Source organism: Homo sapiens, chromosome 3, assembly GCF_000001405.40.
Source record: "Homo sapiens chromosome 3, GRCh38.p14 Primary Assembly".
In the NCBI taxonomy this organism is placed as follows: Eukaryota; Metazoa; Chordata; class Mammalia; order Primates; family Hominidae; genus Homo; species Homo sapiens.
Genome location: NC_000003.12, coordinates 134,460,614 through 134,487,146, shown reverse-complemented (window position 1 = coordinate 134,487,146; position 26,533 = coordinate 134,460,614). Strand labels below are relative to the sequence as shown.

The window sequence follows — 26,533 nt, the reverse complement described above, 5'->3', positions numbered from 1 at the left end:
GAGGAACTGTATAAATACAGGGCATCTACCCTACAATACTGCTTTATTAAAATAATAAATTCTTTTAATAAGTTTAACCAGACATAAGGCTCAGGGAAAACTACTCTGTGCATATCAGCGTACGGTGCTGAAACTGTAAAAGACGACCTGTCTCTGACATCATACTCATCTTTACTCTCCTGATGTCGTAAGGGACGTAAGAAAAACCACATTATAAGCCTAAATGTACTGTCTTCAAGTATCTCCATGATTAAAGTGTTCCTAAGAAACCGTCCTTATTTCTTTCTATCCCTCATTTGTGTGCATGGAGCCGTTAGTTCAGGGTTCTCCAATTTCAGTCCACGATTTATGCCACATTTCCGTACCTCTTGTACTAACATAACCGTTTAAACCAACTCACTATTTTAAAAGCTGCCAACCTTAACATGCCACACTAAATGAGCGGGTCCCCTTGTGCCGTGAATGAAGTAGTCCCAACAGCGCTAGCTAGACAGCAGCCCTGGCAGGGAGGCCGCACTGGGGTCTCTCCGCTGAAAAGGAAGGTGGGTCCGCCGGGGAAGGTGAGTACTGGGCGCAGCTCGCTCGCCCACCTGGCCACTCTCCGAAGCGCCCCCAGCCACCTGGACTCCGAGGAAGGGCTGACCACCTGGCGGGGCCGAACCCCACGCCGGGCTGCGCCACGCCAGACTCCGCCAGTGTGCAGGGCATAGCGGGCCAGGCCGAGGGACTGGGCTTCGGGGCGGACCCAAGCCGGCGGGGACGCGCCTGGTGGTTCGCAGGCCGTTGCGCAAACCGGCCGCAAGCCATGAGGCCGCGAAGCCAGAATCACCAAGGCAGCCTGGGCCGCCTCCAGACCAGGACACGGCAGCCCCTTGCCCCTCCAACTTGCGCACCGGCGGTTACAGGGTTGCCGCAAGCACGCCCCTGAGCCTTCCCGCCGTTACCTCGGGCCGGCGCTGCGCACGCGCGCCACCGCTAAGCTTACGTCCAGCCTCTGTAGTCGGCGCGTTTGTTCCGCCCACTGCCCCCACACTTTTAATAATTGAAACAATGCCTTCTCCAGACTTCCCCTGCACGCGAGCAAATGAACTCACCCACATCCGGGAATCCGAGGAAAGCGAGTGCAGACACGTGATGCGGGGGAGGGGGGGGGGGCGTGGCAGGAGCAAGCGTCTGCCGCGGTGGCCGGGTGCCGGTAAGGGTTTCCAGCGCCCCCGGCCTAGGTTTTGGAGGCGCGGGAATGCGTTCGTTGCTCAGTGTCGGACTTCCCCCTATTCCCATCGGCCGAGGCTGTCACTTTACGCTCATAACCGTTTTTCTTTACTGCACTCGTGTCGGGAGGAAAGGGACTTGCGTGGCACCCCCAGACCTCCCCGTCTCCGCTTCCACGTTTGGTACATCCTGCCTGAGGCAGGAAGCCGCAGCTGAGGGACGGCCTGTCGTACGGTGCGGATGGTGGTGGCCTGCGAGGCTCATTTCTAGCAAGGAACAAGGCTTTCCCGCTTTGATTTTATAAATATTATGTTTACAAAGCTGTAATATATAGAAATTGATAAGACGTGTCCCTGTCCCTGGAAACGCAGGCACCGCGTGTTTGGAAAGACATTCATCTGGGCTGTTTGACAGACTCCCCAGTTGGTGCCATGCTCTGTGCTTAGGGAACTGTGAGACCCCTGGAGGGGTGGGTACCGGGACCGCACTCAGCCTGGGGTTTGGAGGCGGCCTCCTATAGGAAGCGACCTGGGACCTAAGATTTTTAGACTGACTGTGGGTTCACTGGAATAAAAAGGAAGAAACAAAGAGCATTGCAGGCATCGGGACTGTCACGTGAGTAAGAAAAGTTTGTTCAGGAAACAGTGGTCGTACTGGGTGACGAGTACTTGGGACGGTGGCTTTAATACACAAGATAATCAGTGTGCCCTGGGCATTGATTATCTTGATGCTTCCCATCCTTCCAGCCCCTTATGAGGGAAGGCACCTTCGCGCCTAATCCCGGAAATGGGATGTTGACCTTCAAGAGCTGACGCCTGCGTTTATCTTGAAAGGAAGAGTGGCATTAGTGATGTGGAAAAGGGGGTTTTAACTGTCAAGGCTGGAAAATGTGACAGGGTTGGAGGTGTTTGGAGAAGGGACAGGTGAAAAAGATTGAGACCAAATGTGGAAAGATCTACTAAGGAATCATGGGTACAAAATGTACACGTAACAGTTGGAGGCAATAATACCTGAGCAATTGACCACAAAGCTGACCTAGCTTGTTTAGTAGATTAAGTTAGGACAAGAAGCAAGAGTTCAAGGATAGAAGGCCTACTGAAGCTCGAGTGATTTGAGAAAACTTTACAAAGGTGGAAAATCTACGTGGGCCTCCGAAAGTCAGGTTTGGATCAGCTGAGGAAAGTGAGAAGGGTATCCCAGGAGACAGAGCAGCAAGGACAAAGGAGTAGCAGCAGGAAAGTGGGGAGCACTTGTAAGACAGGGACTTCAAAAGTATAACCAAAACTTCGTCTTGCTTTGAGTTATCCACTGGGTAGTACTCGGTTAATTATTGAGTACTGGATTAATTAAGCCCTCACCTGGCTCACCGGTGACAGAAGTAGCAGGGCGCATTTTGCTTAACTTTTGCCGAGATCCTTGTCATGGGGGTGTAAACCCTTTCCCACACCAATCTGTGTATAATTTTTGCCAAGGTGTTAGGGATATCTTGCAGTTATCCTATGGGGGACAGCTGTGAGCCTTTTTGGTTTTTTTTGTTTTTTTTTTTCCGAGACGGAATCTTGCTCTGTCGCCCAGGCTGGAGTGCAGTGGCGCGTGGCGCTATCTCGGCTCACTGCAAGCTCCGCCTCCCAGGTTCACGCCATTCTCCTGCCTCAGCCTCCCGAGTAGCTGGGACTACAGGCGCCTGCCACCATGCTCGGCTAATTTTTTGTATTTTTAGTAGAGACGAGGTTTCACCCTGTTAGCCAGGATGGTGTTGATCTCCTGACCTCGTGATCCGCCCACCTCGGTCTCCCAAAGTGCTGGATTACAGGCGCGAGCCACCGCGCCCGGCCCTGTGAGCCATTTTTACAAAAACTTCCACCTGCCTTGGCCCAAACCTCAGCGTTCTTAGGCACAGGAGCTCATGAACATACTGAGATAACACTAAACTGGACTATGCGAAGGGACCAACTACAGACCTGACACAAATCCTCAAGGCAAGACGATGTCTGAAGTTGAGCTTGTAAAGGAAATGGCTTCCTTCCTTAAAATATCACCCAGGCTGAGCTCTGAAAAAAGCACCTCCAGATGGTGGGTTCCACCCCGCTCCACCACCCCAAAATTGCTTATTGTGTGAGTCTCCATAGTCTCAGAAACTGAGAGTACCTTTGATGCCAGTGGCTTCCGGGCTTTTTGGATTGTCACTTGGTAGCAGGGAGCACCCATAGGATGATGCCTATGATGAGTCAGGGCCCAACCTTGGAAACAGGGAAATCCAGAAGTATCCTACAAGCTAGCCAGCCTTTTGGATTAGATTATAGCAGTTTCAGAGAAAAATGGGGAATCAGCCATGGTCAAGGAGCTAAATAAGCATCGTGACCATTTGGGCCAGAAATTGAAGGGAGTGTAGCGTTAAGAATTAGAGGAAGGAACCTCCGAGGAAGGAGCTACCCCAAAGGGAAGCAGAAACTGGAGAAACTTTAGCAGTATGAGGTTCTACCACTGGTGTTCACCTAGAAGTGCTTTATTCAGATCTCAGCCTGGGTACTATTTTAGGGAAGGAAGCCGTTTCCTTTACAGTATGTTCGTGTGACTCCTGTGCCTAAGAATGCTGAGGTTTGAGCCAGGGGCTAGAAAGGAAACTTAGCTGGCCATTATGAATCAGGGACTCATCAAAGGCATCACAAACAGGAAAAGGTGAATGTTCAAGTTAGAAGAGAAGAGCTACATTGAGATGCAACATATTAATATTTGAGGGCCTCGTTTAACGTGTTGCTCTCCTGTCACACTCTATGACACTGGTCTGTCAGCTGGGCTATGCCTGTCCAGTATACACTATAAAATATGTATCAGTTGGGGTTGGAGAGAGGAACTGTGATCAAAGTAGTCACCCGGCCCATATGAGAAAATGAACCTTTTCCCAAAAGGTGGCCCCAGACTAAAAAGCCTGGAGAATCCTAATAGTGGATTATACCATCTCTTCAGTCTTCGTGTTTAAGAAATAACCTCTTTGGCTTACAGATTTGACAAGATCAAAGCTGCAGGAAAATGGACAGTGAGGTTCAGAGAGATGGAAGGATCTTGGATTTGATTGATGATGCTTGGCGAGAAGACAAGCTGCCTTATGAGGATGTCGCAATACCACTGGTAGGTTATGATTTGAGCTGAGGATGGGTTAAAGGTATTGATCTGGCAGTAACTAGTGGAGGAGGGATATCAATGGAAGATAAACTAGTGTGGCAAAGAAATCAAAGCTGTGGAATTCTCTAACTCTAGAAGCTTCTGGAGAGCATCCAGTTGTATGTTTTATTTGAAGAAAAATGTGGTTCAGGGAGCTAACATGGCCAGGTCAGTTAGGAGTCATGCCAGGACTAGAGCCCCGATTTTCTGAGCCATGTTCTGTCCACCACACGAAAACCAGAGAAACCAAATAATGAGAGTTTAATGCGCAAGATGGGGAAGAACAAGAAGCAGCAGCATATGAGCTCTGTTTCTTACTTCCCTGCCTGTGGCTCATCAGTCTTTCAGCATTTTTAGAAACTTACATTCTTGGAGCATACACCTATCTTAGGTTCCCTGGAAAATATTCAGAAGATACCTGGGTATTCTTTTGCGTTTAGGCCAGTGGCCTTCTGGAATACTCTTTTCTTCCCCATCTTTGGAAAACTCTGCTGCAGGGAGTTTGTTAAACCTCATGTAATAAGTGATCCAAAAGTTTTGCTTATATAAATGTTTGTTTAAAATCCTATTTATGTCATAGAGGCCTAAAAAAGGGAAAACAGGACTGTTTTTCTTTAAAGCATGCCAGCTGCCCTGAGAAGAGTAGTTAGTATTGAATAAAATATAATTTATAGTTAGAATATCTGCTGTTGCTGTTTGCAAAGAAATAAAATAGTTCATCTGTATTTTCATTTACGAATAAGAGATAGTAATATGTTCAATGAATAATATACATATCAAATAAGTCATAGCTTAGTTCAAGCTTAGGAAAATAGTCAAAAGAGAGAGCATAATAAGAATTATAGATGTCATTTATTGAATACCAGTTTTATGCCATGGACTGAGGTTGGAAATATACATTATCTCTAATTCTTAAACAACCCTGTGAGGGAGGTGCTGTTATTCCCATTTTATAGGAAAAGAATAGGATCAGAAAGGGCAACTTGCCCAAAGTCTGGTAGCAGGTAAGTAGGGCTTCATATAACATATACCTAGGTCTGTGAAGTTCCAAATCCTGTCTTGTGAACTTCTGTTCATTCATTCATTTGACAAGCATTTTTTGAAGCCTACTGTGTGCCATAAGACTATGTGAACATAAGATACAGTTCCTCCTCCTGAGGGGTCTAGAAAGGCAACACTTATAGATAAGTAATTGTGATAATAAATATTCTAGGTGGGGGCATAAACAGCCACATCATATACGAAGTGGCTGATTGCCTGGTGGGCATCAGAAAGGCTTCTGAGAGAATGTCATGTTTAAGCTGGGTCATAAGGAAGGACCAGAAGTTTAGTGGAGGTAGACAAGGGTATTGCAGCAGAGGGGACAGATGTGTAAAGGCCCAGAGTTTTGAAAGGCTTTGGGACATGGTGAGTCATTCACTGTGGATGAAGAATACATTTGTCACATAAGTAGGCTGAAAAGTTGGGCTTGGATCAGATTGAGAGTGGTATTTGATATCACACTTAGACCTCATCCTCAGGAGATCCAGGAATGAATGGTCTTAAAAGCAAGACTGCTATGCTCAGATTTGGCTTTTGGAAAATCAGTTTAGCCAGCATTGTTAGAGATGGTGTGACATGGAGATAGGGGCAAGTGAGACCAATTGGCAAGCTGTTGTGGTCTAGGCAAGGGAGGAGGGCCTAAACAAAGTCAAGAAAATAAAGGAGACGTCCATTTCTGGAGAAGTTTATGGCTCAGATTGGAGAACATTTGGGTGGCAGGGGTGGAAGGAGGTTTCCCTGCTGACTTCCAGGCGAAGTTGGCTTGGCCCTGCTGCTAATCCACACCTTTCGCTTGTCTTGCGATTCTAAGGCAATGTGTATGCCAGTTAGGTTTTGCTGCATAACAAGTCACCCCAAAGCTTAGTGACTTAAAAGAGCAACTGTTTATTTCATGATTTTGTAGCTCAGCTGGGAGGGACTTCTAGTCTGCACCAGCTCAGCTGATCCCTGCCAGGCTTGCCTGTGTTGTGCAGTCAGCCAACAGACTCTGGAGGCTGGGTAATCTAGGACTGTCTCACATGTCTGGCAGTTAACAAGCTGTCTGCTGGGTGATGGGGTGACTATGCCATGGTCTCTGGTATCCAGCAGGCTAGCCCAGACTTCTCAATCTCAGGGTTCCAAGAGCAACCTGAGAGGAAACGGCAGAGCTTCTTGGAGCTTAGGCCAAGAACTGGCCCACTGGCATGACAGCTTCATTCTGTTGGCCAAAACAACTCACAGGGCCAGTCCAAATCCAAGATTGGGGAAATCAGTTTCACCTTTTGATAAGAGTAGCTGCAAAGAACTAAGGGCATTTTACAGTACACCATAATGGGTGGCTGGGTTTATGATACTTTTGTTTTTGTTTTCCAGGCATATATGCCATTTTATGTGTTGGCATGTATTGCAAGGGACAGTAGATACCAAATGAAAGACACATTATTTTAGAAAGCATACCACAGATAGGATGAAATTAAGCAACGTTGTCTGCTTCTGAATTAAAGAATTCATTAACCAAGGACCTATTTATTCTTTGTCATCTATAAGTAATTATTAGGACTGAACTTTCTTTTTAAGTTTAAGATAATATATTATTGCGTTACAATAAATGATAGCTCTTCTCAATCTGTTCAAGTATGTTTGAATCTGTCTTGTAGAACAAGATGTATGTGATTCAAATATAGATAAGTAAATATCATTTAATATATATTGAGCATAATTTTAGAGGGGAAAACATATTCACATACTACAAATTAGAATCCAGTGGAAAATTTTAAGTCTGGATATCGCATAACAGTTTGCTAACCATAAAACAAAACACAGATAATTGAAAAGAAATATATTGGTATCTGTGAACTCTGGTACAAAGCAGAGTTTCAGTAGTAATACATTTAAACTTAAAATACAAGTAAATGATCCCAGATCCTACAGTAAGTGTGGCCCATGACTTACCATTTTAAGAAAATTGCTGGTAGGGTGTGAATTGGTCATTTGTTGTGTTTTTTGTTGCTCTGCTCCACCACTAGAGGGAGGTCTTATCTATTAATTACATTTTCAGTGTTTCCTGCCCTACCTCCATTTTTATTATAATATAGACATGTTGGGCCAGGCGCGGTGGCTCGCGCCTGTAATCCCAGCACTTTGGGAGGCTGAGGCGGGTGGATCACCTGAGGTTGGGAGTTCGAGACCAGCCTGACCAACATAGAGAAACCCCATCTCTACTAAAAAAAAATAAAAAAATACAAAATTAGCCGGGCATGGTGGTGCATGCCTGTAATCCCAGCTACTCGGGAGGCTGAGGCGGGAGAATCGCTTGAACCCGGGAGGCAGAGGTTGTGGTGAGCCGAGATCACGCCATTGCTCTCTAACCTGGGCAACAAAAGCAAAACTCCATCTCAAAAAAAAAAGACATGTTGGGTCCAAGATAATTTTTTGGATACATTTCTTGTGTCTAAGGAATATGCCAGCAAACTAGTATTCTTTTAAAGCACGCTCCCGCTAAAGAAGATTTAGGATTCACTCATCTCAGTGTTCCTAGCCGCTAATAATAATAGCAAATATTCCTTGAGCACTGGATACCCCACAGAGTGCTCAGCACTTGATCTGAATTACCTCACCTAATCCTTACAGTAGTCCTGTGAGGTGATGGCTCTTTTGTTCTCCCATTTGCCAAGGAAGAAACAAAGGCCCCAAGGGTTTGCATACCTTGCCCAAGTAACCCAGCAAATGGGAGAGTTGTGGTCTTGGATCCTAGTTGGCTTCCAAAAGCCTCTGCCCTTAACCTTTCTGCCACAGTGCCTCCTTCACAAATGTCAGAGTCAAAATGCCCATCATTCCCTACTGAAGAAGGCCCGGGCCATGTTTGAATGATACTTCTGATAGTTTCCTCACGTGTATGATTTTAGCTTTTTTAGAATACACATATCAATTATGTTGCCTGTTCCTAGGAACTCACAAGCTTTAATTCTAAGTGTTCTTGAGTTCCAAGAAGATGCAGAATATATTACTGTTCTGAATTTCTATTGTACCTTTTCAGAATGAGCTTCCTGAACCTGAACAAGACAATGGTGGCACCACAGAATCTGTCAAAGAACAAGAAATGAAGTGGACAGACTTAGCCTTACAGTACCTCCATGAGAATGTTCCCCCCATTGGAAACTGACGCTTGGCTCCTTTCTTGTGGATGGATTTTCTCAAAGTACACAGATAAAGCATGGTTTGTTTCAGTCTCCAAATTCAAACCTTTGAGTAATAAATCAGCACTCAAAAATGTACACCCATTTAGTTTGTGGTAGCAAAGTGCAATGCGAAATTGAATGAGAAACTGAGATTTCTCAGTAATGGTGAATATTTCGCTCTTTAAACCTAAAACTCTTCATTGAGTAGCTTATATTTGAACATGATTGGTTAAACATTTGCCTCTACCTCTGATTTTGCTTTGCTGTCAAAGTTTAACACCTTCCAACTACTTATGTGTGTCCTGTAACACAGGTGATTGAACGTATGAGAGGGAAAGGCAAAGAAAAAGGAAGCCAGACACTAGGAGAATTATTAACTTCTCATACTTCCCCACATTGAGAAGCATTCGGAGTGTATTTAGCCTGTAGATGTTGTGATATGCAAATATCCCATTCCCTGGTTACTGGCATTCCTAAGATTCTTCATGGTATTTTCAAACTTTGGATAAATTTACAGATTAGAAAGATATCTGACAGTTAATCTCTGTTCTCCTTACAAATTCCTTTTGTGCTGCTGGAAAGGATCTTTGGCTAGGTGGATGACTAGTTTTATTCAAAGCCTTTTCTCAAAGCCCTTTCAGTTACAACCACCCCACTATGGAATCAGTATTTAGTTATACATTTGTATAAGAACCTGTATTTTGAAAAACACATTCATGTATATTTATTCCTGGAATTATTTGCCTGTTAAACAGTGTCTTTCATGTTCTCTCCCCAGATTGTAAACTCTGTAAGAAGCTGCTTGTATCTGTATCCCTTGTTGAAACTCTGAAAACACTGAATAACTAAAATCTCTTCTCATCCTTTTTATGCTGGGTCTTTTTGTTTACTTAGCTTTTAGGAGGAAGAGGTACATGAAAAAACAAATTAGCTTATTTTAGGTTTTCAATCACAAACATGATTTTAGCAGCTATCCTATAATCCAGATACATCCAGGCTGATTTCTTCTCTTTGCATCAGTAGTTCTGCCTAGAAATCTTTTATCTTCAGAATAAAGACCCCAAGGCACCAGTCCCTTCAGTAAGCAAAGAAAGACAACCTAATAGAAAAGAGACTTACAATATTAAAAAAACTTATACAAGAGAAAAAGCTTTTCAAAAAATTAAAATACCTAGAACGCCACAGTTCTTTCACATTCTTGTTAAATGAGGATTTTACAGCTTACTTGTGGTATGTAATCTCTGAGACACTAACATCTAAGAACTTGACAAATGTTCATGTGAATCCTGCCTAGCCTTTCCCTGGAATATTAGTAGACCAGTAAAATATGAAAGCTATTCTTGATTTCTGCTGAACCAGAATATGATATCTGTAAGACAGCTGTTGGTTTGTGTCTATGACACTCATCCGAGAACTGCCGCCACCCCCAGGAATAGCCTCTGGGCAAGTTCGTAACTTGTGTTATGGTGCCAGAACTGTAGCTCATTGTATCAGGAATTAGGTGACCTAATTTGGGCTAGTCAGATTTTGTCAACCAGGGCTTCGAAATCTCCGTCTAGGACTGGCTTGAGGATGATGGGCACAAGAAATGCTAAGTTGCTGTTACAGGGTAGCTTTCTTCAATTGTCTGTACCAAAACACCCAAAAAGGAAAGTATCTGGAGAGGGAGGCCAAGAGGCTATGTGGCCTATTGGTTCCTGACAGCTTTCCAGTTTAGAGCCTGCATATTGCTTTTCTCTGTGGGAGGCACCATGCCTGGCACTGGGAGTATAGCAATGAACAAAGTAAGTGTGGCCTCTCCCTTCATGGAGCCTTTAGTTGGGGAGACAGGCATTAAACCATTAGCCATACAAATACATGATTTCAATTTGGGGCGTATGCTAGGAAGGAAAAATAAAAGATGTGACTTAGGTTGGGTTCCCAGAAGCCAAGCCTGAGGCAGAGATTTCTTGTGCAAGTGATTTATTGAGGTGCTTTCAGAAGAGTCCTGTAAGGTAAACAGGATAGGGCAGGGAAAGAAGCTGAGCCAAGATGTGGTTTGAGCTGAAGTCTAGCTTCAGTCTGATCCAGTGGGATTTCTGGCCCATGACGATGCCAAGAGTTTTCTCACCTTGAGGCAAGGGGTTAGGCCTTTGTACTGAGTATGAATTGGTCAGTCATTGGCTTGGCCCCTCCCACAATCCCCCAGTGACAGCATAACCTCCCAGGCATTGCCAGGTGACACGCCTCTCCAGAGGACACTCTGTAAGAAGCAGCCTCGGCTGCTTGTGTCCGTATCCCTTGTTGAAACTCTGGAAACACTGAATAACTAAAATCTCTTCTCACAGCTGTGAGCCTTTGACAGCCAATACACAGTAGCTGGGGGAATGGGTACCAACAGTACTGCTGCAGTATAGGAGAATGTGACTGGAGGGGATCTGATTTATATTGAATAATCCAAGGGAGACCTTGTGATTAGCAGCTTTTATAGCACATAATTTGAAATACTAATTTTTTCTCTGAATTTTTTTCCAATCTCCAAGGAAGTAACCAGGTCCTGTGTGCTTCCCGTGCACATCAGGAAGCGGACATGCTTAATAATAACCCTAGTCCTTGTTTGGGAAGCAGGGGAGGGTGGGAGAGAAGAGGGTCTGCAGACAGGAACCTCTTAGGAGTAGTGGAAAGCTGTGTTCCACTCAGTACCACAGTGAGATGGTGAACTTCAGAGTTTCATGGTTTGTTGGGTGCTCCAGAGGAAACCTGCACCTCAACACTGAGTCTTCCAGAAAAGGCAAAGACCTCCAAGCTTGGAACCCCCTCCTACAAGGGCCCCCTCAGACTTGGCAGTGAAGATAATAGCAACGACCCAGATAGACTGAAGAGTAGAGGTCTTTACCCATTTTTCCAGGTCATTCATGAGTGTCCTAAATGCTTGCAAGACCCTAAGAAGGGGAAAGGACACCCCAGGGACCACAGAATTAATTTCTGCTTGCAGTGCAGCAGAGTGAGGCCAAATGGACTTAATTTGCTTTGAAAAAAAGAAATGTGCTATCTCTTGTACCCTCCTTGAGCTTGTGACCCAACACCCAAAGGATGAGTAGTAGTAATAAGGGAAAGAATTGGGAGATGAGGATTGCTTACAGAGAGAGCTAACTGCATAAAGCCAGGAGGTAGGACTGGCATTATAAGCAAGGTGGGTAGGCAGGTGTCTGGCTAAAAAAAGTTTTTCTAAGTCATTGAAAGGTTCTAACTAGAGAGAGTGGCCTGATCAGATTGGATTTAAATATATATATATATGTATATATCACTTTGGAGATAAGAATAGAAGTGGAAAGAAAAATTAGAAGAGCTTTGCTTTGGCTCAAGTGAGAAATGATGGTAGTTTGGATTGGCAAGATAGAGGTAAAAGTAGAAGGACTTGAAATATTTGTTCGAGGTGGAATTGTCCAGACTTGCCCAGTGTGAGCACTGCCCTCATGACCCAGGGGTTAGATCTCTGAGCTAGACACAGGACTAAAGTTACAGCCCCTAGTCTCTGGAAACAAGGTCTGAGTCCAGGGGCTGCTCATCCTTTGAAACCCAACTTAGACTCACATCGTAATAGTATCGTAACGATGACACGATGGTTAATCAAGCACTTCTATGCACTTTAAACACATGAGTTCCAGCCCTGACATTCACCTTTTAGGTGGATAGCATTGTCCTTATTGATCAGGAGATGGTGACTTAAATGATTTGTTCCAAGTTAACATTGAAAGACTTATTCCAGGCTGGACACGGTGGCTCACGCCTGTAATCCCAGCATTTTGGGCGGCTGAGGCGGGCAGATCACCTGAGGTCAGGAGTTTGAGACCAGCCTTGCCAACATGATGAAACCCCGTCTCTACTAAGAATATATTAAAAACAAAAACAAACAAACAAAAAACTAGCCGGGCATGGTGGTGGGCGCCTGTAATCCCAGCTATTTGGGAGGCTGAGGCAGGAGAATTATGTGAACCCAGGAAACAGAGGTTGTAGTGAGCTGACACGGTGCCACTGCACTCCAGCCTGGACGACAGAGTGAGACTCCGTCAAAAAAAAAAAAAAAAGACTTATTCCAAGTCATTCAAATAGTAAATGGATTCCAGCCTAGGTTGTCTGATCCCAAAACCCATGTCCTCTCCCAGGACCATGTTACCTTTCCTGTAAAACTTTCTGTGACATGGGAAGAAAATCCTACCAGAATACTTAGAACTTTAAAGTGTGTACCTTGTTTCTAAAATTGAGATAAAGAACTAGAAGCATTTTTAATAGGAGCATGGGAGTCATGAAACATTTAAAGATTCAACCTTTTATCAAACTCATATATAATGTTGTCACCATGAGTCCTGTTGTCACTGGATTTTATACGAGATTAAATCTCTGTAGTTTCAGATTTTGATGCATTTGAGAGGATAGTTTAATGTCAATGCTACAATACCCAGCAGGGGGCGCTCAATTCCTTTTAGAAAGTTTGAATCACTGGCTGATTGTTAGCTCTGAACGCTGAAGATTCTCAATACGTGTGATCTTTCGCTTGAAAGTGATTCTGCATACCTGGGCTGCCCAAAGTGCTAGCTAGCGGTTATGTGAGGAAAGCACAGCCTTCCTGGGATTCTGGCCAGCCAGGCTTGGACTGAGCAGCTCACCTAGTGGGCTCCCCACTCATGCTTTGTCGGGGGCAAAGTGAGGGCACCCAAAAGTTGAGGGCAGTTCAGAACTTTTGGTTAAAGAAAAAGAGGTCTGGAACCAGGAATTTTGCCCACCTGTGTCCCCAACTTATAGTCAGGCCTGGGGCTCTTTCATTAAGCTGTTTCCCAGATCTTTGCATGAAATCGTTTGGATAATTTAGGCATCATCCAGGAATAATCCATTAGGCTCTAGAAAGACTGTTTTTCTTTTTAAAAAAAAAAAAAACAAAACAAAAACTCTTATTCATGTACAGATTTGTTAATACAGGGACACTGTTGTCACAGGAGTTTGGTATACAGATCATTTCATCACTCAGGTACTAAGCCTAGTACCCAGTAGTTATTTCTCCTGATCCCCTCCCTCCTTCACCCTCCTCCCTCAAGTAGGCCGCAGTGTCTGCTTTTCCCCAGTTTGTGCCTATTGGTTCTCATTATTTAGCCCCCACTTATGAAAACATGCAGTGTTGGCTTTCTGTTTCTTCGTTAGTTTGCTAAGGATAATGGCCTTCAGCTCCATCCACATTCCTGCAAAGGACCTGATCTCCTTTTTAATGGCTACATAGCATTCCATGGTGTATATGTACCACATTTTCTTTATTCAGTCTGCCATTGGTGGGCATTTAGGTTAATTCCATGAAAAGACTGTTTTTCAAAGCTTCCTTTCTTGATTTGGCCCCGCTTTACCCACAGTTATATTTGTTCACCAGTTTCTCACTCTCACTGTGCCATACGCCATCAGTGAGCTCTCGAGGAAAGACTGGGTAGTGGCAGGCCTGAAAAGGCAGCTGGGTGGTCTCCTAAAGGGACTTCATACCTTGTGGCCTTCCTGGCCCAGATGATGGATGGTGCTGGCCTCTGCACCGGAACCAGCCTGGACCAGCTAGCTGCTCAGGCGTGCAAGCAAGGCAGTTGCCCTGGGCCTGCACTCAAAAGGGCCTGCATTTGGTATAATGCTCCGCTTTTGCTGTCTTGAAAGTGTTAATAATTTTTTAACAAGGAACCCACATTTTCATTTGGTACTTGGCCCCATAAATTGGGTAGCTGATCCTTGAATCTATGGTATCCATCAGGGTTCCATGCTGGACAGTGACTAAACCCAGCAAATGCCCTCACCTTAGAAGTGAGAATTCAAGGGACTGTGGGTGTTGGCCTTTGGGGTGACAGAAAAGCAACCAGGGCCAGGAGGAGCGACAGGGAGAATGCTGGGTCAGACCCCCGGGCTTGCCAGAGTCCTGACAGGGGTTCAGGTCCTCGAATGATCTCCTAGGCAGTTGCTGAAATCGGTTCCTCAGCTCAACTGAACCCTCTGTCTTTTTTGCCTCCTGAAAACTAGCCTCACTGACCATGGGAGGAAGGAGAGGTACAGAACTTGAGGTGAGGTTATCACCCAATCTCAGGGCATGTCCCTGCCTAAATTTCATCTGGCTCTTAGCCAACTACTATATGAACTTGCACTCTGTCACCCTGGTCACAGCAATGCAGCTGTTGCAGAATCGAGCCTCTTGAGTGCTGCAGGTGTGAGAAACACAACTACAGAGCTGGGACCAGTGGTTACCCCATTCCTTCATTAGTTCTGCTCATTACTATAAGGATTTCCACCTAGATTTTTATTTTAGTTTACCAACTGGGTTGAACCATATGAAAAAGCTGTTTTTATACATCAAAAATAGTCAGATAATTGCAATTTCCTGTTTTCAGCTAATATTATTCTTACCAAGAGCCAACTGTGTGTGTATACAAACACACGCACACCACACACAAACCGGATTTGATGGGGGTGGGTGGGGGGAACAGGCAAAGGGTGGAGAATTTGAAAACAACCAAATGACTCCAAAGGAAGTAGGGGAGAGGTTGACGTACAGACCCATCCCAGTTATTCCACGCCTTCCCTGTGACTCAGATCCCCTTTATCGTGCTGCCACCACCCAAAGGCAAAAGGGGTTTTCCTCTGCCCATGCATGATCTCTTCTACCTTCTTGGCATCTCTGCCCGTGCTTCCTCCCCACCTGTCATCTTAGTCTCCAGCAGTTCCCCTCTTCCCCTCCACCATGCCCACAGAGTGGTACTCACTTGAAGTGGCACACAGTCTAATGGCGCAGGGCTTCTGGTGAGAGTGAGGTGGATGCATCCCTGCCTCTTGGCCAGTGAGGATGCCTGACACCTGTCAATGACTAAGACCTGATGCAGCCTCCCTTTACTCAGCCCAGACAGACAGGAGGCATGGGTCTGCCTGATGAGGCTCTTCTTCCTGGCCTCATTGTCACCACTCTCGCCTCCCAGCCCCTACTCTCAGGGATGGGCAGATGTTAAGGATATTCTCCCCACTTACCCTACTGCTCCCCTCTGGGCCTGGAGATTAGGTGCCTATTTTTCAGTCTGAGATCTTAGTCCAGACATACACGCATCATACAGCAAGGGCTCCAGGAGTGTAAGAAAAATGAGTCCCAGGCTGGCTTGTAGAGTCTCAGATGGACTCGAGGCAGAAGTGGAGAGGGCTGGAGGCAGAAGTGGAGAGGGCTGGAGCTCTAGTCCCTCTCCCTTGCATTGACTCTGCTGCCTGCCTCTTTCATCCAGGCTCTCTCTTTCAATCAATCAATCTCCATGTTTGTTCCTATTTCTCTCTTGCTTACTGTGTTTTCTCCCTTGCTCTTTTATTTATTTATTTATTTATTTTATTTTATTTTTTTTGAGATGGAGTCTCGCTCTGTCCCCAGGCTGGAGTGTGCAGTGGCACAATCTCAGCTCACTGCAAGCTCCACCTCCCAAGTTCATGCCATTCTCCTGCCTCAGCCTCCGGAGTAGCTGGGACTACAGGCGCTCGCCACCATGCCTGGCTAATTTTTTTTTTTTCTGTTTTTAGTAGAGATGGGGTTTCACTGTGTTAGCCATGATGGTCTCCTGACCTCATGATCCGCCCGCCTCGGCCTCCCAAACTGCTGGGATTACAGGCATGAGCCACTGCACCCGGCCCTCTCCCTTGCTCTTATTCAAGCATTTATCTAAACATCCTAGTCTATACATTGGACTTGTTTTCTTATGTCATTCAAATTGCAATTATCTCTAAAGTAGAACTTACATCAAATTCATATCTCATTCTGTTTTACATAATAGTTATTTACTTAAAATTATATGTGAGTAAAATGTATGTAGGCTGCCTCAAAGTACAATGGCTAAGAGGACACACCTTTGAGGCAAGAAAGACCTAGGTTCAAAACCCAGCCAAGCAACACACCAGTCCATCTCCAAGCAGGTTATCTGCCTTTCTGAACCCCAGTTTCCTCATTGAAAATGCGGTTGATAATACTGCTTACATGAAAGGCTTCTTGAAGGAGTAAATGAGACAATGCAAGTAAAGTGCTTAGAAAAGTTTCTGGCACATGGTAGCACTTGGTAAATATTAGCCATTGTTTTCAATGTAATACAATAAGTATTTCAAAAAAGTTTACATTGCTACTCTGAAGTCAAGCAAAGAATAATTTTATTATATAAATAATAACTTGCAGATAATTCTTAGGGATCATTTTACACAGTGGAAACAGCCATGAATTAGGAGACAGAAGACCCGGGTTCAGGTTCTGGCTCCACAGTTGCTGACTCTGTGACCAGGAGCCTGATTGTTAACTTCACTGAGCCTACTTCCTAGGGCTGGAGAGTCAAAACATACTTAAAACTGTTTTGCAGTTATAAAGAACTATACACATTTAAGTTAAACATGATTTGTTTACTTCATAATTGTGTAATTTCATTCTTAAATTCATGTTTCATGTAGCGCTTTAATATATGTGCTAATTTAAACCTAATAAATGTACATATGGGCATATCTGTATGTGAATATGCATAAACATATTTTATAAAGTCTGGAAGAAAAGAAACCATTGGCAGTCGTTACTTCTAGGGACAAGATTAAACTGGTGAGGAAGGAAATTGTCCCACCTTACTTTATATCCTCCTGAAAAGGCAATGAGATTGTGGATAATTTTTTCAAGTAATAATGCTGATATTTTGAGTCAGAAAAGCATTTTTTTTTTTTTTGAGACAGAGTCTTGCTCTGTCACCCAGGCTGGTGCAGTGGCATGATCTCAGCTTACTGCAACCTCCGACTCCCAGGTTCAAGCAATTCTCCTGTCTCAGCCTCCCGAGTAGCTAGGATTACAGGCACATGCCACCACTCACGGATAATTTTTGTATTTTTAGTAGAGACGGGGTTTTGCCATGTTGGCCAGGCTGGTCTCAAACTGCTGACCTCAGGTGATCTGCCTGCCTTGGCCTCCCAAAGTGCTGAGATTATGGGAGTGAGCCACCACGCCCAGCCAGAAAAGCATTATTTAAAAAAATAAATAAATAAAAATAAAAATAAATAAAACTACTCTCACTGCCTTTGAATAAATATTTGAAATGTATGTTAAAACTTATGTCTGCAATCAATAACTTTTCATTCCTCTAATACTCAGCAGTGAGCATCAGCTCTGTGCAAGGCACCCTGAGAGAAGCATACGTAAGTCAGACGTGAATTGTGCCTGAGGTTACACTGTGTTAGACCAGATAAGACACTTATCATATAAAAAGCCAAAATATAAGAAGAAAGTGGTCAGTGTGCCTAGTACACAATAAATGCTAAAGAAATACTTACTAGATAGATAGTGCAGTGGTGCAAGTAGGCAAAGAGATGGATGAATTAATGGATGGATGAATGGATGGTGGTAGTACCATGGAAGAGGGGAGTCAGAGAAGAAATAGATCTCCTGCAGTTGAGGGAATTTAGGAAAGCTTTGTGGAGAAGGTAGCCTTTTGAAACAAAGGCCAGATTTGAACATCTGGAGATTAGAAGATGAATTAGGACAGCACCTTATGGTGATGACATTCTGTCATTTCTGACTTTCTTTCTCCCTCTCTCTCTTCTTTTCAACTAAGGGTAGGGCTGGTGTGTTTGGAAACATATGGGAACTTTTTTTTTTTTTTTTTGGTTGTCACAATGTCTGGGATGGTGGGGGAGGTACCAGAGAATACTGCTACATTTAGTGAGATGTTGGGGTTAGTAAATATACTGCAAAGAAGAATTGTTCTATCCAAAACTCTGATAGTGACCACATTGAGAAATACCAGTAAGTGAGAGAAGCATCATAAATAGATTATTACAATGTCATTTTAAAAAATTGCTGACATAGATATCTTTACAAGTTTTCTGCTTTGTCGGCCGGTTCAGTTGATGTGATCTCCCTTCTAGGCAAAGGAGCAGGGAAGTAAGATTGCAAAGGCCCATGATGGGGCGGGGAGCAGTGCTGAGCAGACAGAGGACTAGTCTACGGAGATTGAACTTTGGTCTTCAGGAAAAGGGGGCCCAATCAAGGCTTGTAATTAGGGGAATAATCTTGTCATATCTATACTTTAGGGAATATTAAACCTCTAATTTTTGAGCCTGTTATGAAGCCAAAATATGAAGTGATAACAAGTTTATTTTTTAGAGCTTCATCCTGGCTTTGCTTCAGAAAGCAGAAAGAGTTCATTCTATATTTTTTAAAATTCTCCTTTAAATTTTTTAAATTTAATTTATAAAATATTTAATAATTTGAAAGACAAATTATTCAACAAATTATGCTGAGACAATGGTTTTCCATTTAGGAAAAAACAACAACCCATGTTAGGGTTTCAAGAATTAAACATGAAAAAATTGTTAAAGGTGTTAGAAGGAAATGTAGTTGAATACTTTAGGATATTTGATGTAGGAAAAGCCTTCTTAAGTAATTTACAAAAGCCAGGAAGCAGAAAGTACAAAAATAGATTAACAAAATTTCTACATGACAAAAAATATAAATTTAAAAGAATAGAAGGTATTCATAAAACGTATAAAAGACAAAAAAAAGGTTCCAGATAACCCATAAAACTTCTATAAATTAGTAAGAAAATATAACCCCAATAGAAAAATAGGCAGTGAGTACCATCAGGCGAGTCATAGAAAAAAGATGGAAGACCTGAAAACATGATGATGGCGGATATTTCAGACTGACTTTCCCTACTTCCCATGCTGCCGCCTTGCAGCTTGCCTCACTGCATGCTGGAGCCTGGAAAGCCACAGCCTGCAGCTTCCTGGCTCCCTAAGAGCTGAGCTGGTTTCTCTGTGACCTGGTTTCTCTTGATTGGTTGTACCCTCAAGAGACCTACTAACTCCACTGGCAGACAGAGTTGAGAAGGTCCTTGTTTTTTGTGTTTTGATTGGGGTTATTTTGGTTTTTTTTTTGTTTGTTTTTGGTTTCTTCCCTGCATTAACAACAGCAAAGACCTCAGTGTCTAGATCCAGTCTCCAGCTTCGTGGGCGTTGTGGCCAGGACGTAGAGCATCTACCACACAGCTGAGGCAGTATGGTTCTGGAGACCAGATATGGCTGAGGCTTCCTGGTTTCTGATTGCCGAGCCAGCAGTTGGGGGCCCAGCTTCCCAAATCCCCAGCTTCCAGGTCATGAGGGAAGGGAAAGCTCCCTTGGTGGGTCCGTTCTGAGCTGGAGTTCTGGGAATCAGTCCTCGAAGCTCATCCTGAACTTGCTATTCTACCTTATCTGACAAAATGTTAAACACTCAATTCCCTATATTAAATCACTTTCTACATAAACTAAGGGAGTGGCTTCTGTCATTTCTAGCTGAACTCTGACACCTCACTAATAATCAAAGAAATTCAAACTAAACCAGCAATGCTATATTATTTCTCATTCATTACAAAGTCAACACTTAAAAAGACTGACAAAATTCAACATTGGTGAGGATGTGGGGAAATGGGAAATGGGCTGTCTCAGAAAGCCTTTTTTTTTTTTTTTTTTTTGAGACAGGGTCTTGCTCTGTCACCCAGGCTGGAGTGCAGTGGTGCAATCACAGCTCACTGCACCCTTGACTACCCGGGTTCAAGCGATCCTCCCACCTCAGCCTTCCAAGTAGCTGGGACTACAGGCAAAAGCCACCAAGCCGGACTAACCTTTTTTTGTATTTTTAGTAAAGGAAGAGTTTCCCTATGTTGCCCAGGCTGGTCTCAAACTCCTGGGCTCAAGTGACCCACCTGCCTCGATCTCCCAAAGTGCTGGGATTACAGGCATGAGCCACCGTGCTCAGCCTGGAGAACCATTTTGAAGGCAATTTGGCAGTATCTATCCAAGTATAAAATGTGCATCTCATCCAACCCAGCAATCCCACCTCTAGGTATCTGTCAAAGAGACATATTGGTACATGTCCTTAAGGCAACATTTCTCAAGGATGTTAAATGCATCATTGTGAGTAATGGAAAAATAATACTAAGTAGCTGAAATGCCCATCAAGAGGGAATATTTAAGAAATTATTATACAACCATGCTTTGGCATGTTCTGCAGTAGTCAAAGAATGAGGCAGAGCTCCAAATACTAATATGGAAAGATCCCAGACACATTTCCAAGTGAAAAATAAGCTGCAAAACAGCACGCATAGTATTATATCATTTATGTTTAAAAACACATGTCACAAAAATATATATTTCTGTGTAAACACATGTATGTCTAAATAAACTCACAGTTCAGGAGAGACACAAGCCAAGCAACCCTGGGGAGTGGGGAAGGTGAGATGAGGAGGGGCTCATGCCTGGGTTTTGCTTATACTCTATGTGTCTGTACTATTCGGATGTTTGAATATTTTACAATAAGAATATATTCATATACAGTCATGTGTCACTTAATCACAGGGATATGCTCTGAGAAATGTATTTGCATTATTAGGTGATTTTGTTGTTGTGCAAACATCACACAGCACAGTTATATAAACCCAGGTGCTAGAGCCTACTACACACCTAGGCTCTATGGGATAGCCTCTTACTCCCAGGCTACAAACCTGCATGGCATGTTACTGTACTGAATACTGTAGGCAATTGTAGCACAATGGTAATTACTTGTGTACCTAAATATATCTAAACATAAAAAGGTACAGTAAAAATATGGTATTATAATTTTTTTTTTTTGGAGACTTAGTCTCACTCTGTCACCCAGGCTGGAGTGCAGTGGTACAATCTCAGCTCAGTGCTATCTCAGCTCATTACAATCTCCACCTCCCGGGTTCAAGCGATTCTTGTGCCTCGACCTCCCAACCAGCTGGGATTACAGGCGCAAAATAGATTTTTGTATTTTTTTTTAGTTGACACAGCGTTTCACCATGTTGGCCAGGCTGGTCTCAAACTCCTGACCTCAGGTGATCAGCCCACCTTGGCCTCCCAAAGTGCTGGGATTACAGGCTTGAGCCACCACACCTGGCCTGGTATTATAATCTTATGGGATCACCATTGTATATGCAGTCTATCATTTACCAAAACATTGTCATGCAGTGCATGACTGCAGTATATGATTGCATTAATGCATAGATTACTAGGTTATAAAATGCTATAGGGACAAGATCCTAACTTTCAAATGTCTAAGCAAAGGATATGTATTTATCTCTCTGTGTATCTGGAAAGAGAGAGAGGGAAAGGAAATATGACAAAATGTAACATTCGTTGGATCTAGGTGGAGTGATATGGCTGTTCATTGTACCATTCTTACAACTTTTCTGTATTTTTAAATTTTTTCATAACATAAAGTTGAAAATAAAAACATATCAAATACACATCACTGGACACACACATACTTTTCCTGTGCATGCAGATTTTTCCAGATGTGGGAGCAAAGCCTGTGACTTGCTCAGCTGCAATTATGGCCAAAAGGCATTGGCAGTCTCTCCTTGTCCGCTTCTTAGAGTAAGCATCACCTCGCTCCTGTGGCCAGTGTCTTTAGAAATCTGCAGAGGCCTCGCTGTATACTAAAGAAGGTGGACAGCCCCTCTGCAAAGCATGGTCTGGGCCCAGCCTGTTGGGGAACAGAGGCCTAGCTGGCCTTCTGCCCCTCTTCCTGCAGAGGCAGCAGAGCCCATGGCCCCCTTAGGGCACCTTTGCCATCGAACATGCCCCCCACGTGTGTTTGGACGCTCCCTGGTGACAGTGCATGGGGCTGCTGCACTCGGCATCCCTATGTGTTCATGTGCATCCCTATGCACATGCCCCCCATGTGTGTTTGGACTCTCCCTGGTGAGGATGCCACAGGGCTGCTACCCCTGGCCTCCCTATGAAGGGCCAGGTGACCCTTGGCAAGAAGAGAAGCTGCAGGCGCCTTCAGGGCCACACCAGGGGTCTCTGAAAGATTCCATTCACTGGAGCTGCTATTCACAGACCCCTCACTTGCTCCTCAGCCTGGTGTTTATTTTTGAGATAGTAGTTTGAGGAGAATGGGGAAAAATGAATTGCAAAAAAAGGAATTGGAATTTTAATGAGAACCATCTGGAGTGTTTTCCAAGGGTGTAATGTTTGGTACAAGAAAGTAATTCCTTAGCTCAAACAAGGAGAAGAGAAATGAAGGAAACTTATATTGTGCTTACTCACCGCTCCCCAACTCAAAAAACGACGCTGAGCAGAACCACCTAAACGCATGAATCACACGCGAATGAGGGTGTAGTGGGGGCTTTGGAGCAGGAGAACCCGAGATTCTGGCTCTGACTTGCCGCAGCAAGGAGAAATGCTTTTCCTCTGCCAAAGAGACTTTGAGGGATGCGTTGTGGTGGGCCTGGGGCCAGTGCCTGGAATTTGGGTAACCATGGAAACAGACCTGCGGGTGACAACAAACACAAGATGGAATTTCAGCATTAGCAGCCAGGGCAGAGGAATGGGAAAGTTCGGGGAAAGTTCTTTTTTTTTTTTTTTTTTTTTAAACCCTGGGGAATAGGGGAATGAGGGAATGAGGGGAGGTACAAGGAAAGTCTCCATGCTCTGAAAAAGCGCTCCCGCCCAGCACCCCAGTGGAGTCACAGGAAGCCAGATTCTCCAGAAGTCTCTATTTTCACTCTACCTATTTTCTTCTTGTATTTATAGCCCATCGCATTCCACCAAGGATTCCATAGGGATCTAAAAGCACTTCCCAAAGGGTCTCAGTACACAATTAAATCCCTGTCCTTGGGCCAGCAGGTGACAGGATGCAACATAATCACATATTGTAAAGACAGCCACTCTTCTGGTGCATCTCAGTTCATCCTCACGACAGCCCTGCGGCCCAGGAGGGCAGGTCCCCCCAACCTTACCTCTGGGGAAAAGGAAACTCAGAGAGCCAAGATCACCCTGAAAGTGAGGGGCCGGCTGCCCCAGCTGAAGCCCAGCCTCCTTGCACCATGCCATTATACCTATAATCTTTATTCTGGGAACATTTGAATAATTATGGTAGCCAACATTTATGAAGAAGAGGTGCAAAACCCTACATCAACCAGTGTGCAAAGGCCAACTATCTGTGTGGCTGCAGAAGTAGGCATGTGTTTCTGCTTCAAGGACATTTGATTGAATGGGAAAGGATTTATGCGATGGGAGAAAGAAATTTTTACAGAGTTATTAGGCATAAAAATTAAAGAAAAGAAACCATGGACTCTAGAATTTTCTTCTCTGAGGTTTTTGAAAGTGGAATAGCTGGCATCCATTTAGATGCCAGAACAAATCAGAGCCTGAGATTGAAAGAAGCATAAAAACATCCACTACAGAATCCTTCCTTTGCAGATGGGGAAACCAAGACAGAATTGGGACTGGAGGCTGGGCACAGTGGCTCACGCCTGCAATCCCAGCACTTTGGGAGGCCAAGGTAGGGTGATTGCTTGAGGCCAAGGGTTCGGGACCAGCCTGAGCAACACAGCAAGACCCTGCCTCTACTTTAAAAAAAGAAGAAGAAAATAAAATAAATTAGTAGGGTGTGGTGGCGTGTGCCTGTAGTCCCAGCTACCCAGAAGCTGAGGGAAAATGATTGTTTGAGCCCAGGAGTTCGAGGTTCATGCCACTGCACTCCAGCCCGGGTGACAGAGAACAAACTTGTCTCAAAAAGAAAAAAAGAAAGAAAGAAAGAAAAGAAAAAAGAAAAAATCTTGGGACCGGAACCTGCAGTCCTGGCTAGAGGCACGAGGTACTTTTCTTAACAGGATATCCCAGGAGGGAGCCCAGAAACAAGCCCATGGGTCTATGTCTTGGAGTCTGATTGGCAGGGTTAAAATAGGAGGCTGAAACAGCCATTTTAAAGAAGAGGATCGTTTTGTCTGGGATCAGACAAGGAAAAAAAATGCATAATGCACTGACATTCTTCAAAACTGAGATCTAGTTTCACTGTTATGACCATCGGTAGTTAAGAAGAAGCCTCTGTTCTAAACAGAGAGACTCAACAGTTAAGAATTTAGCAAAAAAGACAGTTTGAAATCAGCAAAGTTACATAACTTTGTTTCAAGAAATCCTCTCGAAACTTCATTAGCAAAAAATGCCCCTAAATAAGCCAACAGGAAATAAGAAGTGCAGGAATTTCTGGAAATGGGAGGGTGTGTTTTTGTTTTTAAAGGAAAAAAAAAGTTTTTAAGGAAGACGGAAGCCCTGACCCACATAAAGATAGGGTTTCAGTAAAACTAATTTGAGACCAAGAGGGAAAGTCTAAGACTCTCAGCAATGAAGTGAGTGCCCAGGCCCTGAGGGCTTTGTGTGTGCTGCTGAAAACAAACAGCAGCCCCCTAACACGGGCTCAATCAAGGGAGCCGATTTTACACCAAAGACAAAACTTCATTCACTGAAACACAGCAAATCTGCATGAAATTTTCCATAGCCCTATTGGAGTTTAACTGCAGAGAAATTTAAAAATTGTTTCACAGAAAACCAAATATCACATGTGCTCACTTATAAGCAGAAGCTAAATATTGGGTACACATGAACATAAAGATGAGAACAAGACACCAGGGACTGTAAAAGGAGGGAGGGAGAGATGGGGGCAAGGGCTGAAAAACTTCCTATTGGGTACCATGTTCACTGTCTGGTGTGATGGGATCAACAGAAGCTGAAACCTCAGCATCATGCAATATGCCCTTGTAACAAACCTGCACATGCACCTCCCAAATCTGAAATAAAAATGGACTTTTTATTTGTTTGTTTGTTTTTGAGACGGAGTCTCGCTCTGTCACCAGGCTGGAGTGCAGTGGCGTGATCTTGGCTCACTGCAAGCTCCACCTCCTGGGTTCAAGCGATTCTCCTGCCTCAGCCTCCCGAATAGCTGGGATTACAGTTACGCACCACTATGCCTGGCTAATTTTTGTATTTTTAGTAGAGATGGGGTTTCACCATGTTGACCAGGCTGGTTTCAAACTCTTGACCTTGTGATCCACCCGCTTCGGCCTCCCAAAGTGCTGGGATTATAGGCGTGGGCCATTGCACCTGGCCAAAAATTGACTTTTTAAAAAGAGAAATAAAAATAAAATTTGTTTCACCTTTTAGCATTCCAGAAATACTTGCTATTTATCCTGAAATAAAATTGATTTTCCCTAAAGCTCTGTTTTGTAACTTTTTATCTTGAAAACCTAAGGGGTAAGGGAAGGAGGAGAGTGTAATTCACTTTCTCAGTAAATGTTTTTGACAACTTACTAGATGCCAGGCCCTGAACAAAGTGCTGCCATCATTTCTGATTATTGCCCCTTGGGCTTAATACAATATCTGAGTTTTTAATTTTAAAATGCAACGTCTGCTGTGACCCTATAAGCCTCCCATGAAATGTTGAGTTTTCTACCTTCTAATACTGTTAAGCACTATGCAAGCCTAAAGAGGCCACTGCCCATTCCTAATGAGAATCTTCTGTCTATGATTCATGGATTAACCCCTATAAATGGCTTCATGTACATGCCCAAAATATGTGGATCCACAAGAGGTCAGAGAGTTTCATGTAAGTATGTATCTGCTCGTGAGAAAGTGTGTGTGGGAGGGAAGGAAGGAGTAGAAACTGTTTTCATTTAAAAAAGCCAGAGGGGCAAATAGAAAAGTATTCATAGACATCACTAAAGGAGTGAGTTTATAGGGCAGAAAGAGGAAAGGAAGCAATACATTTCCAAATCATAACCCCTTTAATCCTCGAAAAGTTGCTCCTTCAGGAGAAGCCATGGGCTGATCATTATACTGAGAGAAAGGTCCCCATTGCTGTTGTTCTCCACACCTGTACATCCAGCAATACCAGCCTGAGTTGAAAAGGGCCTTGGAAGAGAGCATCTCAATCCAGGGTGCCCAGAGGTTTGTCATGAGAAGTGTCCTCCAGGCAGAAGTGTTTCTTTCTGACCAATTCCAGATCATACCCATTGGATGAGCAGAAGCCTGAGTCCAGACGTGTTCTGGGTGAGGAGCACCCTGCAGACCTCTCCTGTCCCCTCACCGGCCTGCCCCATGGTTTTCTTCTGGCTTTCATGAGAAGAAAC

General features: G+C 44.0%; 2 protein-coding genes across 58 annotated transcripts in view, besides 6 other annotated features; one reads left to right on the top strand and one right to left on the bottom strand.

Moving 5' to 3' along the window:
* CEP63 (centrosomal protein 63) overlaps window positions 1-1,423 on the bottom strand; it is a 296,836-nt gene extending 295,413 nt beyond the window's left edge. For 18 of the 55 annotated variants that reach the window (XR_007095733.1, NR_148354.2, NR_148352.2 and 15 more), the window contains exon 1: window positions 591-1,090. Coding sequence is in view for 8 of the 55 variants with exons in the window: in XM_024453768.2 (XP_024309536.1) it covers window positions 420-427 (8 nt within the window). In the remaining 47 variants the exon portion in view is untranslated. 55 annotated transcript variants of the gene reach the window in all.
* Window positions 158-976: an enhancer, noted in NCBI's record as "NANOG-H3K27ac-H3K4me1 hESC enhancer chr3:134205013-134205831 (GRCh37/hg19 assembly coordinates)". NCBI's record gives its function as "activates a minimal SCP1, AML or CMV promoter by ChIP-STARR-seq in primed H9 embryonic stem cells {active_cell/tissue: H9 hESC(primed)}" and the evidence as "EXISTENCE:reporter gene assay evidence [ECO:0000049][PMID:30033119]".
* Window positions 1,068-1,177: an enhancer, noted in NCBI's record as "active region_20564". NCBI's record gives its function as "activates an Ori minimal core promoter by ATAC-STARR-seq in GM12878 lymphoblastoid cells {active_cell/tissue: GM12878}" and the evidence as "EXISTENCE:reporter gene assay evidence [ECO:0000049][PMID:35858748]".
* On the top strand, window positions 1,124-9,443 carry ANAPC13 (anaphase promoting complex subunit 13). Of its 3 annotated transcripts, none has more exons than NM_001242374.1 (3): window positions 1,124-1,827; window positions 4,216-4,341; window positions 8,432-9,443. In NM_001242374.1, exons 2-3 carry the CDS (start codon window positions 4,243-4,245, stop codon window positions 8,555-8,557), a joined length of 225 nt encoding a protein of 74 aa, NP_001229303.1. In that variant the 5' UTR covers window positions 1,124-1,827; window positions 4,216-4,242; the 3' UTR covers window positions 8,558-9,443. The 3 variants fall into 3 exon arrangements, with proteins under 3 accessions (NP_001229303.1, NP_001229304.1, NP_056206.1); NM_001242375.1 differs by having other exon boundaries at window positions 1,158-1,446; NM_015391.4 differs by having other exon boundaries at window positions 1,162-1,195; window positions 8,432-9,441.
* Window positions 1,258-1,357: an enhancer, noted in NCBI's record as "active region_20563". NCBI's record gives its function as "activates an Ori minimal core promoter by ATAC-STARR-seq in GM12878 lymphoblastoid cells {active_cell/tissue: GM12878}" and the evidence as "EXISTENCE:reporter gene assay evidence [ECO:0000049][PMID:35858748]".
* Window positions 1,388-1,507: an enhancer, noted in NCBI's record as "active region_20562". NCBI's record gives its function as "activates an Ori minimal core promoter by ATAC-STARR-seq in GM12878 lymphoblastoid cells {active_cell/tissue: GM12878}" and the evidence as "EXISTENCE:reporter gene assay evidence [ECO:0000049][PMID:35858748]".
* Window positions 21,679-22,403: an enhancer, noted in NCBI's record as "H3K27ac-H3K4me1 hESC enhancer chr3:134183586-134184310 (GRCh37/hg19 assembly coordinates)". NCBI's record gives its function as "activates a minimal SCP1, AML or CMV promoter by ChIP-STARR-seq in naive H9 embryonic stem cells {active_cell/tissue: H9 hESC(naive)}" and the evidence as "EXISTENCE:reporter gene assay evidence [ECO:0000049][PMID:30033119]".
* Window positions 23,855-24,581: an enhancer, noted in NCBI's record as "H3K27ac hESC enhancer chr3:134181408-134182134 (GRCh37/hg19 assembly coordinates)". NCBI's record gives its function as "activates a minimal SCP1, AML or CMV promoter by ChIP-STARR-seq in naive H9 embryonic stem cells {active_cell/tissue: H9 hESC(naive)}" and the evidence as "EXISTENCE:reporter gene assay evidence [ECO:0000049][PMID:30033119]".

Coding starts and splice junctions, on each gene's coding strand:
- ANAPC13 (NM_001242374.1), top strand. CDS start 4,243: ATGGACAGTGAGGTTCAGAGAGATGGAAGGATCTTGGATTTGATTGAT. Junction 4,342..8,431: donor AGGATGTCGCAATACCACTG/GTAGGTTATGAT, acceptor GTACCTTTTCAG/AATGAGCTTCCTGAACCTGA.